General features: G+C 37.6%; 1 protein-coding gene across 26 annotated transcripts in view; it reads left to right on the top strand.

The window, feature by feature from the left end:
* The window catches only part of USP45 (ubiquitin specific peptidase 45), an 85,522-nt gene that overhangs the window by 33,104 nt on the left and 36,206 nt on the right, over positions 1-16,212 (top strand). For 18 of the 26 annotated variants that reach the window (NR_144344.3, NR_144345.3, NR_144348.2 and 15 more), the window contains exons 8-10: positions 1,860-1,990; positions 8,513-8,600; positions 16,125-16,206. Coding sequence is in view for 21 of the 26 variants with exons in the window: in XM_005267170.5 (XP_005267227.1) it covers positions 1,860-1,990; positions 8,513-8,600; positions 16,125-16,206 (301 nt within the window). In the remaining 5 variants the exon portion in view is untranslated. Of the gene's footprint in view, positions 1-1,859; positions 2,483-4,840; positions 4,978-8,512; positions 8,601-16,124; positions 16,207-16,212 lie in introns of those variants that run through there. The other 8 variants (NR_144346.3, NR_144347.2, NM_001346027.3 and 5 more) reach the window with 3 other exon arrangements.

The raw sequence follows: 16,212 nt of genomic DNA, 5'->3' as shown, positions 1-16,212 counted from the left end.
CATGGCTCATTGCAGCCTGGGCTTAAGGGATCCTCCCACTTCAGCCTCCTGAGTAGCTCGGACTGCAGGCACGTGCCACTACACTTGGCTAATTTTTAAATTTTTTTTGCAGAGACGGAGTCTCCCTATGTTGCCCAAGCGGGCCTTCCACTCTGGGCTCAAGTGATCCTTCCACCTTGGCCTCCCAAAGTGTGGAGGTTACAGATGTGAGTCATGGCATCCAGCCCAGAAAAGCACTTTTGACATTCAAAAGCTATGGAAGGCCGAGCACCATGGCTCATTCCTGTAATCCCCTAGCACTTTGGGAGGCCGGAGTGGGAGGATCACTTGAAGCCAGGAGTTTAAGACCAGCCTGGGCAACAAAGTGAGACCCCCCCTCTACCCCCGTCTCTACAAAAATTTTAAAAATCAACTGGATATGCTGGCATTCATCTGTAGTCCCAGCTGCTCAGGAGGTGGAAGCAGGAGGATCACTTGGGTCCAAGAGTTTGAAGTTACAGTGAGCTGACCGCACCACTGCACTCCAGCCTGGGTGACAGAGTGAGACTTCGTCTAAAAAAAAAAAAAGAAAAAACACAAAAGTCTGTCTTGAGTCCTCTGTAATTTTGACTGGGTGTGGTGGCTCATGCCTGCGATCCCAGCTACTTGGGAGGCTGAGGCGGGAGGATTGCTTGAGCCTTAGGAGTTCAAGACCAGCCTGGGCAACCCTGTCTCTTTAAAAAAAAAAAAAAAAAAAAACTATGGAAAATTATAGCCTGTCCTTTCTGTGATTATAGTGGATTTTTAAGGATAGTTGTTATAAAATACATATGTAACAGTTATTTCATGAATATAGGAATAGGACAATATATTCAATAGTTATCTTGGAAGATAACATTCTTTTTTTTTTTTTTTTTTTGAGACGGAGTCTCGCTCTGTCGCCCAGGCCGGACTGCGGACTGCAGTGGCGCAATCTCGGCTCACTGCAAGCTCCACTTCCCGGGTTCACGCCATTCTCCTGCCTCAGCCTCCCGAGTAGCTGGGACTACAGGCGCCCGCCACCGCGCCTGGCTAATTTTTTGTATTTTTAGTAGAGACAGGGTTTCACCTTGTTAGCCAGGATGGTCTCGATCTCCTGACCTCATGATCCACCCGCCTCGGCCTCCCAAAGTGCTGGGATTACAGGCGTGAGCCACCGCGCCCGGCCGGAAGATAACATTCTTTAATGTCCCAAGTTTATATTTGGGATCTGCTTTCTATTCCTTGTCCTTTAGGAGAAAGTGTTATTGGTGGGGATAGTACTTTAGAAACCAGATTTCGAGGGGAAAAAAATTCTAGAATTAAATGGGTTAATCCTTCACCCAATGTTAGCTGCTTTTGTCAAGCTTTATGTCTCTCCCCTTTAAAAGAGGGAGATGTTATGCTGATTTTGTTACATGATTCCACATTATTACTTTACTAGTAAAATATTTGGGGAAAAGAAAGGTGTATAATCCTACATTATACACAAATAATCATACATTATTTACTAGCAAATAATGTATGATTATTCGTGGAGTGGTACAAACATTAAGTAGATTAGTGATTTTATTTATAGGAGAGTGCATTAAAGGACAGTGACAAGCAACTAAAGATTGGTGATATCATTTGATCTAATAGTTTTATTAAGCAAAGGGCAGAGGATATGAAAATACCTGTGTTTTTCAAGGCAGGTATTCTGTTTTCCATTTTTATATATTTTATTTATGAAATAATAAAGTTTCTTAATACAATTGAGGCAATTTAGTTGGTGTTATTTAAGCAGAGTGTAACTCACAGATTTTTAATATGTTATTTTTAAATTGTACATTTCTGACATAGAGTTGATCATGTTTTTAAAGGACCCATTGGTGGTGGAACTTTCAAGGCCTGGACCACTGACCTCAGCCTTGTTCCTGTTTCTTCACAGCATGAAGGAGACTGAAAAAGGACCACTTTCTCCTAAAGTTCTTTTTAATCAGCTTTGTCAGAAGTGGGTGCATCTACATTTAATATAAATAATTATGAGTTACAAAATACTAATGTATTCATCATTTAACATGAATAGTCGTTTTTACTGTAACTTTGCTCTTATTGCCCTGACTATGAAGAGAACTAAAATTTGTTACAGCTCTATGCTTTATGAAAATTATATCTCAGTCCTCAGAAGAAGCAGCTTATCCTCATATATAAGGAAATGGAGACACAGAAATTAAATGGCTCACCTAGTCTGAGTGAAAAGCTGAGAATCAAATGGAGATCTGTCCTGACTTGGATGCCTATGTTGTAATACCATAAAGTGAGAAAACCATAGAGTTGTAAAATCTAGAAAGTACCGTAAGATAACATCTAATCTAGCTTTCTTATTTTAAAAGATGAGCTGTGAGGCAAATAGAGTTTAAGTGAATTTCTCAAGGTATTACAGTATGTTTAAAAACCAAATCCTTATGTGCCTGGAAATAAACACATAAAGGATCTGACTTGACTTTAATGCATTCATGTATTCATTTATATAAAAAATTGAGAGCTTGCTTTTTATGAGGTACTTGCTACAATTCAGGGGTACACAACATATATTGCGTCACAAATGCACCCTGTCCTCATGGAACTCACAAGCTAGTCCAGTCCACAATTACTAAAATATGTAGAAGGAAAATTATTTGAATATGAGCTTGTGTTTTTGTATATCTATAGACTTTAAAATCTCATTTTAATTAAAACTAGTAATGAATGCCATGATATTTTAAATATAGTCCAAAATAGAGGGCTTAGTGTATGTTTCATTTGGTTGGCAAATGATGTTTCTTCAAAGCCTGAGGACCAAAAAAACCTGCAAAATTCTCAGAGGCATGAGTGTCTCACAGAGTTAAAAAGTTTTTAGCACAGCCATAATAAAGAATGAAATCATATTCTTTGCGACAACATGGATGCAGCTGGAGGCCATTATTCTAAGTGAATTAATGCAGGAACAGAAAACCAGATACCACATGTTCTCATAAGTGGAAGCTAAACATTGGGTACTCATGGACATAAAGATGGCAACAGTAGAGAGTGGGGATTACTAGAGGTGGGAGAGATTGAGGGAGGAAGGGTTGAAAAACTAACTATTCGGTACTATGCTTAGTACCTGAGTGACGGGATCATTCGTACTCCGGACCTTTGCATCACACAATATACCCAGATAACAAACCTGCACATGTACCCCTTGAATCTAAAATAAAAGTTGAAATTAAAACAAAAAAAGTTACTAGGTCATTGTATGCTTTAGAAATTTGTTTCTGACTTTGCCAGAAATAACTTGTTTTGTATAGTTTTCTTCCTGGTTATAAAGGTTTATTAACATTTTAAAAATTACTATTAAAATAATGGGCACTCATAGATAAAAATTCAAACTCCTCTCTATCTTTACTCCTCAGAAGTAACTATTATCTGATTCTTTCCAAAAGTGATCATACATACACAGACATATGCAAATTTTTTGCAACTTGCTTGATATATTTTATACATCTTTCCATGTTAGCACATGTGTGTATAACTTACTCAGTTTTGTATGAATACACTGTACTTGCGGAAGTACATCTGTAGGATAAATTCTTAGAATAACTAGATCAAACATTATTTGAAGATTTTTATGTATTTTTTGTATTTTTTAGGAGACAGGGTCTCGCTCTGTGCCCAGGCTCAAGTGCAGTGGCCCAATCATAGTCGAATTCCTGGGCTCAAGCATGCCTCCCTGCTCAACCTCCCAAGTAGCTGGGATTACAGGCATGAGCGTCATCCATGCTTGGCTGAAAAGTTTTAAATTGCCTTTTTTTTGTTTGTTTTATGGCGTTTACTTTTAAAAGAAGTATACATTAGACAAATATATTTTTTTAAAATCAAGTAAAGATTTAAGCCACATGTGTTTGGGTTTATTTCTGAACTATATTCTGTTTCATTGATCTACATGTCTTGTCTTTACCCCAAAGCCTACACTGTCTTGATTACTGTAGCTTCATAGTAAGTCTTGCAATTGAGTAGCATAAGTTCTCAAATTTTGGTCATCCTTTTCAAACTATTCTAGGTCCTCTTTTTTTTTTTTGAGACGGAGTTTCGCTCTTGTTGCCCAGGCTGGAGTGCAATGGTATGATTTTGGCTTACCACAGCCTCCACCTCCTGGGTTCAAGCAATTCTCCTGCCTCAGCCTGGGATTACAGGCGCCCGCTACCACACCCGGCTAATTTTGTATTTTTACTAGAGATGGGGTTTCTCCATGTTGGTCAGGCTGGTCTTGAACTCCCAACCTCAGGTGATCTGCCCACCTTGGCCTCCCAAAGTGCCAGGGTTACAGGCGTGAGCCACTGCGCCTGGCCGGTCCTTTGCTTTTTTATGTAAATTATAGAATCAGATTGTCAGTTGGGATTGTTTTGAATGTGTAGATCAATTTGGGGAGAATCAACATCTTAACAATGTTGAATCTTTTCATGTATGATATCTTACCAGTTTTCTAGGTCTTTGATTTTTCTCATCAAGGGTGTATAGTTTTCAGCATACAAATCCCGCACATATTTTGTTAGATTTATCTTAAGAATTTCATGTTTTTATGCTATTTATTGTAAATGGTACTCTTTTTAAAGAATTCAATTTCCAATTGTTCATTGTTAATATACAGAAATACAGTTGATTTTTGTATGTTGACCTTGTTTCTTGCTACCCTACCCAACTTGCTTTACTAGTTCTCTTAGCTTTATGTTGATTCGTTGGTATTTCCTATGTAGACAATGTCATTGGCAAATGAAGATTGTTTTCTTTCTTTCCAATCTGTATCATTTTATATCTTTTTCTCATTTTATATCACTGTCAGGGACAACCAATACATATTGCAATAGGACTCTTCTTGGAAAAAAAATGAAAAAGGACCACCAATACAATGTTAGAATGGTGAAATAGGCATCTTGCCTTATTCCTGATATTAAAGGGAGAGCATGCAGTCTTTCACACGTAAGTGTGATAATAACTATAGAGTTTTCATACATGCCTTTTATCAGGTTGAGGAAATTCCCAATTATTCTTAGTTTTTCTTTTTTCTGAGAGTTCTTATTAAGAAATGGATTTTTTAAAAATGCTTTTTCTGTATCCAAATAATCTTTTTTTTTTTTTTTTTTGTCTGTTGGAATAGTAAATTGTATTGGTGGATATTCTGGCTAGCTTTAGTAAGGTATATGTGACATAAAATAAATTGTACATATTTAAAGTGTACTACTGGGGCCAGACACAGTGGCTCATGCCTGTAATCCCAGCAGTTTGGGAGCCAAGGTGGGAGAACTGCCTGAGGCCAGGAGTTTGAGACTAGCCAGGACAACATAGGGAGACTCTATGAAAAAAAAATTAGCCAGAGGTGTGATGGTGCACACCTGTAGTCCCAGCTACTCTAGAGGCTGAGGTAGGAGGATCACTTGAGCCTAGGAGTTTTGAGTGTTCAGTGAGCTGTTAATGTCATTGCACTCCTGTCACCCCTGTCTCTCTAAAAAATAAAATATACTATTGGATAAGTTTTGACATATCTATACACTTTGTGTATGTGTGTGTGTGTGTGTGTGTGTATATATGTATATATACATACATTCATTCAATGTAATGAATGTATCCATCACCCCCCAAAGTTTTGTTGGGCCCCTTTATAATCCCTTTCTCTAGAACCTCTCCCCTAAACTCCATCCCTGGGTGGTATACCCCTTACCTGTTTTTTTTTTTGTTGTTGCAATAGATTAGTTTGCATTTTGGGGAATTCTATAGAAATGGAATCATACAGGGTGTACTCTTTTTTTATCTGACTTCCTTCACTTGGCATAATTTGTGGTTTATTCATATTGTGTGTACATGAACCAGTCTCTTGAAGTTTCTGTTATAGTGGTGATTATCACACACTTTGACCACTTGTGATGAGCCTTATTTGGGAGCAAGGTCTTCAACTTTGTGGTTTTTGTTTGTTTTATTTGGTTTTCTGCTTCTGCATTAGTTCACTTAGGGTGATGGCTTTCAGCTGCTTCCATGTTGCTTGCTGCAAAGGATATGATTTTGTTCTTTTTTATGGCTGTGTAGTATTCCATGGTGTATATGGACCACATTTTCTTTATCCAATCCACCATATATGGGCACCTAGGTTGATTCCATGTCTTTGCTATTGTGAATAGCACTGTGATGAACATAGAAGTGGATTAAATTTCTTTTTCTTGACAGTCTCCTAATTTATGCTTGTACATATATTTTTCTCTCATGCCTTGAGGTTTTTAAAAGTCCTCTCCTCTTTCTCATGGCAATACTTTTACTAAAGTACATTTCCTGGGAATCCTTAGGGTTCCCCTTATTTTGAATAGGCTGAATATTTTCATATGTTTGGTGATTTTTATCTTTTAATCCTTTAATAGGTTTGAAAGTCTCTCTTGATATGGGTAGCTCAGATAGGCTCCATCATAGAGTCTAGAAATCATCCTATGATTTTTTTTTGCCCATTCCTAGGTTAAAAAAAAAAAAAAAAAAAAAAAACAAATCTAAGTTTATTAAATTTTCTTCAGTGGTTTAGAAGGCAGTAAATAGTTTTTGCATTGGTTGAGAAGGAGCTATAGGCAGAGACATGGTGGAGGCAGTTTCTCTTTGTTCAGGAATGATTTCCTCCTTGTGTGTCTGCTTTGAAAGCCATAAACTGCCCCCTCCTCCTACCTACCACTTGGCTAGTGAAGATCTCTGAGGGATTCTCCTGTTCCCTCCTCTAGTCATCTGCTACTTCACTGGCCTTCCTTGGAGTATACAGCATAAGTATAGGGTTCTGCAGTTTCTGCCTCTCCTGATGCCAGCTGTGGAGGTCCAAATAGGATTAGAATATGTGTCCATCTTGGTTTCTGTCCTCATCTCTAATCTAGGAGGTGGGTTCTGTCCACCAAGTGCAGGTAGGGAAGCCCATCAAGGTAATAAAGTATTGTCAGCATGTTGCTATGTGCTGCTAGTTAGCAAGAATGTCTGGAGTGGTGTTTCCTCTTACAGGCTGGATTGATGACCGGTTAATGTTTTAGCAGTCAGGGACTCACTTTCTTTGTATTATTAGGATTAATATTTATCCTGAGATAATGAAGAATAATGCTGAAAGTACTGCACTTGGCCGGGCGTGATGGCTCATGCCTGTAATTCCAGCACTTTGAGAGGCTGAGGTGGGTGGATCATTTGAGGTCAGGAGTTCGAGACCAGCCTGACCAACATGGAGAAACCCCACCTCTACTAAAAATACAAAAATTAGCCGGGCACGATGGCAGGTGTGGCCAGCAACTGTAGTCCCAGCCACTCAGGAGGCTGAGGCAGGAGAATTGCTTGAACCCAGGAGGCGGAGGTTGCAGTGAGCTGAGATTGTGCCACTGCACTCCAGCCTAGGTGACAGAGTGAAACTCCATCTCACAAAAATAAAAATGAGATAATAATTAAAAATAATTAAGTACTGCACTCTGTCAAAAGACCTGTAGTTATGTTAGTGGCACTTAGCTTGTTCTTCGATTTTCTCAAGCATAAAGTAGAACTTATATTAATTATAAATTCCTGAACAGTGCTGTTTTGTATATCACATGAGATATGTTGTAAATATCATAAATAGTTGTAAATGTGTCTTCTACTATAATATATTCTAATTATTTTGTATTTTGACAGAATTATTTCTTCATCTTAGGTCTGAACACTTTCTAGATTTAATACTTGTCTGCACTTAAGGCAAAATGTTCATTTTAGCATAGAGTTTACTGTAGGTTACTTTTTAAAGTTACTGAAATCAACCAAATATTTCCTATGTCAGTGTCTCCATGAATAGTACCTGATCTTTCTATTAAGTTAATACAGAGGAAATTTAATTATCAAGTCCTTAAAAAACATATTCACAGGGAGATCAACTTATAGTCCTTTATATGAAATAGAAACACTCTCTTGCTTTCCTTTTGGTTAAGGTAGGAAGATAATAAATCACAGTGGCTTGGGTTTGAATACTGGTTTATTTGCTAGCTGTATGACCTTGCAAATGATTTAAACAATACTGCTGAGTCCTCATGTGTAAGTTGGAGAAAACAGTACATCCCAACAAAGTTGTTGGAGGATTATGCCTGAACATGTGAAAAACTACTAGTATTGTGCTTAACATATAGTAGTTGCTTAATAAATGATAGCCATATTCTCAGTGCACACTTAAGATCACACCCTAATTGGACCAGTAATCACATTTCATCTATTTAGTTGGAAAAGTAGTAAACTGTGTCTTTATGCCATTTTGTGTGTGTGGGTGTGTGTTTTGGTAGAGAACGGGGTTTTGCCTTGTTGCCCAGGCTGGTCTCGAACTCCTGAGCTCAAGTGATCTGCCCCTTGGCCTCCCAAATGCTGGGATTACAGGCGTAGGCTGCCGCACCCAGCTAATAATATGCTATTTCAAGTGCATTTAGAGAAGAGTGTTGATGAACCATGGAATGATTATTCTTTTTTTCTTTCCTCTTTTGTTTTTAAATCACAGGGCACCTCGATTTAAAGATTTCCAGCAACAGGACAGTCAGGAGCTTCTTCATTATCTTCTGGATGCAGTGAGGACAGAAGAAACAAAGGTCAGGTTTCTTTATGTATATCATGTATTCTCTTCAAGAAGAGGATACAAAACTAAGGGATTATTGGGGGGCCAAGGCGGGGTGGATCATCTGAGGTCAGGAGTTTCAGACCAGCCTAGCCAACATAGTGAAACCTCGTCTCTAATAAAAATTAGCCGCGCATGGTGGTGCATACCTGTAATTCCAGCTACTTGGCAGGCTGAGACATGAGAATTGCTTGAACCCAGGAAGCAGAGGTTGCAGTGAGCGGAGATCCCGCTACTGCACTACTCCAGCCTGGGTGACAGAGTGAGACTCTGTCTCAAAAAACAAACAAACAAAAAAACAACTAAGTAAGTAATTTCTATTACAATTTAAAAGTACAGTTGAGAAATAATTTAATTTTTTAGAGTAAATATTCTAGATATTTTTTCTTTCTTCTGTAAGATATTTACCTTTATCCTTTTACAGCCCTATTGTCCTTTTTAGTTAATGTCCTTTGGCTGTAAATAAAATAATTTAAACTAGCTTAAGTAAAAAGGAATTGGGGCCAGGCATGGTGGCTCATGCCTGTAATCCCAACACTTTGGAAGGCTGAGGCAGGTGGATCACCTGAGGTCAGGAGTTCAAGATCAGCCTGGGAAACATGCTGAAACCCTGTCTCTACTAAAAATACAAAAATTAGCCAGGTGTGGTAGCGTGTGCCTGTAATCCTAGCTACTTGGGAGGCTGAGGCAGGAGAATACTTGAACCCCAAGGGTGGAGGTTGCAGTGAGCCGAGATCGTGCCACTGCACTCCAGCCTGGGTGACGGAGTGAAACGCTGTAAAAAAAAAAAAAAAAAAAAGGAATCTTAAGATGCAGGGAGATATTATTCCTGGGCGATAGGGGGATATAGGAACAGGAAAGCTGTCAGGAATCCAGAAAGCATTCTTCTTATTATCCTAGTTTCTCTGGCTCTGTAAATTTTCTTCATTTTTCTCCATGCAGACCAAGCAGTATTTGTATGTCATAGTTCCATGTATGTAAAAACTATACTGGCTATTCATGATTCTCAATTTTTAAATTCCCAGTAGACAGAAACTTCATTATTCCATGTTGGATTAAATTCCACTCATGGATCAGTTGTTTGTGGCTAGGAGAGAGGAGTCCCAGCCTCTTAGATGAGAGAGCATTTCTCAGAAAAGGAATAGCCTGTGGACTGGATAGATTCCCCAGTGTTGATTGTAGGCCTATCCCCTAACTGATAGGCTCTTTATTGACTTTAACGTTAAATTAGTTAAATTCAACTTCTTCTGGGAGGGGTTTCCTGTGCACATAGGATCAGTTTATCAGAGAAAATGCAAGATATTAAGGATATCAGATACACAGCACACATTCTCCATTTTCCTCCCTCTTACTCATAGAAGACATTGCTGATCGTTCCTAACAGTCCAGGTGAGTTTGGGTTCAGCCTCAGAATTATTTTCTGAGCACACCATTGTGGGCAGCCCTTGTCAGTCATAATTGGAGTAATAGGTGAAAACCTGTTTTCCATTCAAGGCAAATATACTTCTTAATCTATATGGTAATATGTAATAAAAGCAGCCAAGTGTTCAGTGAAGTGCATATGTGCTTGTGATAAGTAGTGCTAGGCAAGATGGACCTTCCTTTTTTAAAAAAAATTCTGCCAGATATGGTGGCTCATGCCTGTAATCCCAGCACTCTGGGAGGCCAAGGTGGGCGGATCACTTGAGCTCAGGAATTTCAGACCAGCCTGGCCAATATAGTGAAACCATGTGTCTACTAAAAACACAAAAATTAGCCAGGCGTGGTGGTGCACACCTGTAATCCCAGCTTCTTGGGTGGCTGAGGCATGAGAATTGCTTGAACCCGAGAGGCGGAGGTTGCAGTGAGCTGTGATCGCACCACTGCACTCCAGCCTGGGCAACAGAGCAGAGCCTACCTCAAAAAACAACAAAAATCCTGTTTTAATTGTAGTGTGGCAGTGTCTCTTTACTCCTAGTGACCAGTTTCCAGTGAAGAGAAAATTAGAGTTCTAATATTTTCTTTAAAGTTTCCTTTAAAAGTAAGGATTGAGTTAATTACTCTCTCCTGCTATAAAACATCATGTATCACAATCCTATTTTTAATTGTCTGTTTATTGACTTTCTTATTAAGCTAATTGAATTCAGCTTTTAGAGGTGTCATTCCTTTTCTGCCACCTCTCTACTTTTACATATTTGATCATAAACCCTACCACTTTCTATTTAGATTTATGTCCCTATCTGTCAGCTTTCTTAGATTGTGATCTCTTTGAGGAATGGTACTATGTATTGTCTCTGTCCTGTGTGCCTTGCACATAGTAGATGTTCTGTGAATTTGTGTGTGTGTGTGTGTGTGTGTGTTTTGTTTTTTTTGTTTTTTTTTTGAGACAGGGTCTCACTCTGTCATCCAGGCTGGAGTGCAGTGGCATGATCTCAGCTCACTGCAGCCTCTGCCTCCCAGGTTCAAGTGATTCTCCTGCCTCAGCCTCCCGAGTAGCTGGGATTACAGGGTGTGCCACCATTCCCAGCTAATTTTTGTACTTTTAGTAGAAATGGGGTTTCACCATGTTGACTAGGCTTGCTTATTTATTTAGACAGTGTCTTGCTCTGTTGCTTAGGCTGCAGTGCAGTGTTGTGATCTCGGCTCACTGCAACCTCCAACCTCCTGGGTTCAAGTGATTCTCCTGCCTCAGCCTCCTGAATAGCTGGGATTACAGACACATATCACCAAGCCTGGCTAATTTTTTTTTTTTGTATTTTTAGTAGAGACAGGGTTTTACCACTTTGGCCAGGCTTGTTTCGAACTCCGGACCTCAAGTAATCTGCCTGCCTCGGCCTCCCAAAGTGCTGGGATCACAGGCATGAGCTGCCACTCCGGGCTCCCTGTGAATGTTTTTTGAATGAGTTGTATGTGCTTAACCTTAAACGCAACTTTTTTTTGAGAATTTGAATTGGGAAGAAATCAAAATAATTATTCTTATATGTTATACTAGCTAGTTTCTTTGTGATTTGCAATTATTTTGAATATGTTGTATTTGAATAAACTAATAAACCGACAGGATAATACTGTGTTGTTTTACCTACATTGTGTCTAAAAAAGAAAAAAAAAAAGAGATTTATAATTAGTTAACCATTGAGGATATTAGCGTAGTCCCCTAGCTAGTATTTGATCACATTTTCTTAGAGCTAGGAACTGATACTTAGAGTTGAGCTTCAAACTCAAGTCTTTCTGACTCCCAAACTAATGATCTTTCTAATTCTATAAAATACTGCTGATTGAAGTTTAAATGCTTGGACATCTGTAGTCAGTAGAAATAATGATTTTAAGTCTGCTATTTAAAATGTAACCACAATTATTTTACTATTTGTAAAAGTATTAAATTGGATTCAATAATTATGGTATATTGCTCTTCTTGTTGAGGGGTAGATGCATGTTGGCACGGTGGGAACAGGTTGCTTTTTGTATTGTGAACAATAAATGGGCCTACAGATGATATGAGTTACTTTAAGATTAATTCAGATTTATCAATTGCTAGAATTATTTTTTTCCCCATGATTTGCAGGAATACGTTTACTATGTGGTGGTCATGTATCATTAAATGGAATTAAAAATTATGTAAGTGGGCTGGGCATGGTGGCTCATTCCTGTAATCCCAGCAGTTTGGGAGGCTGAGGTGGGCAGATCGCCTGAGGTCAGGAGTTCGAGACCAGCTTGGCCAACATGGTGAAACCCCGTGTCTACTAAAAATACAAAAATTAGCCAAGCATGGTGATGCGTGTCTGTAATCCTGGCTACTCAGGAGACTGAGGCAGGAGAGTTGCTTGAACTCGAGGTGGAGGTTGCAGTGAGCTGTGATCGCGGCACTGCACTCTAGACTGGGTGAGGGAGTGAGACACGTTCTCAAAAAAAAAAAAAATTAGTAAGTGAAGTTAAAAGTCATGTGAATGGATTAAAATTATGTCTTGGGGTTTTTTTTCTGTTGATATTATAAAAAAAGTAAAATATATCCCTGTCACTTTTTTCTGTTTTACCTCTATAATTTGATAGCAGTCTTTGTTATAATTAAATTATTGTTTAGTCGTAATGGTGCATTGGGATGCACAGTATCTTAGGCAGCCCAGCAGGACACATTGGTTTTGAAAGCTCTTATCTTTCTTGCACTATTTGAAGGCTTTAAATGGTGCAGTAAAATTAAAATGTCAAGTCTGTGGATCTATTCAATTTCATAAGCGAGGACAGTCCTGACGGTCAGCTACAGTATCAGGGCAGGAGCTGCATTGTCTGGCCTGGGAACTCCACAGCTGTTAATCATGCTGTTGTTGTAGGGTGTCACTGCCATGTGTTTCTTGATTGAAGGAAGGCTACAGTGTTATGTCTGCCACCAGAATCTTTTAGTAATGATGAAAAACTACTGACCTCCTTTCATATGGTTTCATTAAAGTCTTTTCTGAACTACAACATTGAGGAATATACTCTTGCTGAATATAGTACTTAAAGGATCATTTGTGCAGAAATTGTAAATTTTTCATGTACAAAATCAAATTTCCTAGAAGTAGTTCTTTTATAAGGCAGTCTTTTTAATTTATACATTTATGCTTCTTTGTTTTTTCCTTTTAATTTGCACAGTCACTAAATTAATGATACTATATTTTTATTATCTTCAAGATTTATTACTGTAATATATTTTTGGTTAGAATTATTTTAAAGACAGAATATCTCAGCTAAAACTGTACATTATTTTCATTCTTGTTTTTAAAGTATAAGGTGGAGATCTGAAATAGTTGAACCTTGATACTGCTAATTGATTAAGTGCTACAGTTATTAACAGCTCCCTGACCAAAGTATGTATCTTTCTTTTAACCTAAATTGTTCAAAGCACAACTCTTAACAATGAGGAATTGTATATGGACGTAAACTCATTTATTTTCCTCAACTTGATGAATTACCTATTAATTGACTTTTAAACAGTTTGGAGTAGAGAATATAAATTCACGGTTAGGATCAAAATTAAAAAGCAAAAGTCTAATATTTAAAAGTTAATAATGTAAACAATTTCATTTTACTCTTTTTAGAGTGTAATCACAGCTTTTTAGCTTTTTTCCTGCTGCTTGAATTGGTAACTTCTTAGCTTCTTTTGAGTGATATGACATTTCAGGATATATAGCAAAGTTTCATTAAATCATATCAAAAATCATGTCTGAATTAGTAAAATGTTTAAATTGTAGGATAAATTTACAGACTGAGTTGAGTTAGAAGTATTTCTCTTGAGTTGTTTGAAATGTTATGATTATCTGAAATATTTGCGAGTGAACATTGGTATTTATTGGAATTTTTCATTTAAGTTCATTAAATATTTCTCCTGCATGGAATTTACACAATTCCAATTTGCTTACTTTAGTTCAATAAATTCTTTTTTCAAGGTGTAAAAGCCAACTTTAGCTTAGACAATGTCTGAATTATATCAACTTTCAAATTTATTGAGTCTGAATTGGAGATTATTTCAGTATTTAATAGCTTCTGGGAGACATTTTATTGTTTGATTTCTTTATAGTATATAAGTGTATTTCAGGACTTGTGTCACACGGTATGAATTGCTTTATGTTTGCTTTTATCCCCTACTTTGTAAAATATTTAAGTGTTTTGAATCTTGTATTAATTTTCAAAATATGCTTGAGGACAGTGAACAGTTATAGGAAATATAATGTGTTAATCACAGGCCAGTTAGTAATAAGTGAAACTCGGTTTCACAATTGTTGGAGGAGGATGTGTTAAAAAACATATATCATACACAGAAGAAACATAAATCATACACAGCAGAACAATTCTGGGGGTCATGAGTGTCTTCTGCTTATCCAGGCAGCAGGGCATGGAGCGAGAATAAGAATGTGATCACCTCCTTCTCCATATAATATTGTGTTCTTAGATTAAAAGCATGTTATAATGGCAGAAGGGGATGTTGGTGTTGACAATATTTCTGATTCATAAGTCTCATTGCTCCAATCTGGGTTCTTTACCTCTCATATCTGATGTATAGGTGTCACTCTGGAATTCCTCCTAACCATGCTCCTGGGAGATCCCTTTGCCTCTCTTGTGTTTTGACTTTGCCATTGTTTATATCCCGTGTTCTTGTCTTTCTTCCTTTATGCTCTTTTTTTCCTTATTCAAAAGGTGGCATATACCATATATATAACTTGTACTTTGTCTTTTTTCACTTAATATATCATAGTGATCTTTTCCAATTAAAAGATAGGAAGGACCAGGCACCACCTGTAATCCCAGCACTTTGGGAGTTTGAGACCAGCCTGGGCAACATAGGAAGAGCCTGTCTCTACAAAACGAACAAACAAACAACAAAAAACAGGTGTGGCAGCTCATGCCTGTAATTCCAGCACTTTGGGAGGCTGAGGCAGGTGGCTTGCTTGAGCTCAGAAGCTCAAGGCCAGCCTGGGCAATATGGCAAAACCCCATCTCTACAAAAAAATTTTTAAAAATTAGCCAGGTGTCATGGTGTGTGCCTATAGTCCCAGGTACTTGGGAGGCTGAGGCAGTAGGATCACTTGAACCCAGAGAAGTCAAAGCTGCAGTGGGCAGTGATTACACCACTGCACTCCAGCCTGGGCAACAAAACAAGACTCTCAAAAAAAAAAAAAATATATATATATATATTATATATATATTAATTATATATATATTTTTTGGAAAGATAATTAAACTTTTCCCTCATCCTACTGTCATAATCTGAATTAGGAAGACAAAATTCATCCACTAATTAGGGGCATAGTTAATGTTAAAAGGTCACTTACTAAGTTTTATTCTTGGAGTATGTAGTTTTATTCTGAAACTTTTCTGTGAGATTGGATCTTTCCTAAAACATACACAAGAGATGTAGAAATAGTTAATATAAACCTTGTCATTTACTGAGAGCTGCTGAAAACATAATCATTATTGACAACTAAGTTCAAGTAAAACCATAATTAAAATTTGGGGGATTCTTCTTGCTATGGACATTAATTGATAAATTTGGACTTTAGTTATATGTGTATATAAATGAGGTAGTCCACATAGCATAGAGATTATAGTAACCAGCTTGATAGCTTCTTAATATAGAAAGGTCTTCATAGACAATAAATTTCATATGGTCTATTTTCTTTTTTGGTCCTAATTAAGAAGTGTCATTTTAGAGAGAGGGAGAAGGAAGAAAGAGGGCAAATTAATTTATGCTAAGCAACAGGACTAGGCTGCTTGCTTTTTGTACACTGATAAAAATACATTAAATCCAAGAGAGAACCTAAATGTAAAAATTCTGACTCTTACTTGGGAAAATTTGACATTAGAGCAATCTATTCATGGAATTTGAGACCTGGAAGAAATTACATTTTTTAAAAAATTTGGTCATTTTATTTTCAAACTAGGGAACTGAAATCCACAGTGTACCTTGCTGTTTGAAAGTACTTTTATTAGGAGGATGAGGCCTGAGTTAACTATTATTAGACCAGAATCTATTAACTTTGTTTTACAGCGAATACAAGCTAGCATTCTAAAAGCATTTAACAACCCAACTACTAAAACTGCTGATGATGAAACTAGAAAAAAAGTCAAAGGTATGT

Source organism: Homo sapiens, chromosome 6 (assembly GCF_000001405.40).
Source record: "Homo sapiens chromosome 6, GRCh38.p14 Primary Assembly".
Lineage (NCBI taxonomy): Eukaryota > Metazoa > Chordata > Mammalia > Primates > Hominidae > Homo > Homo sapiens.
The sequence above is the reverse complement of the archived record's forward strand: the minus strand, read 5'-3'. Positions and strand labels throughout refer to the sequence as shown.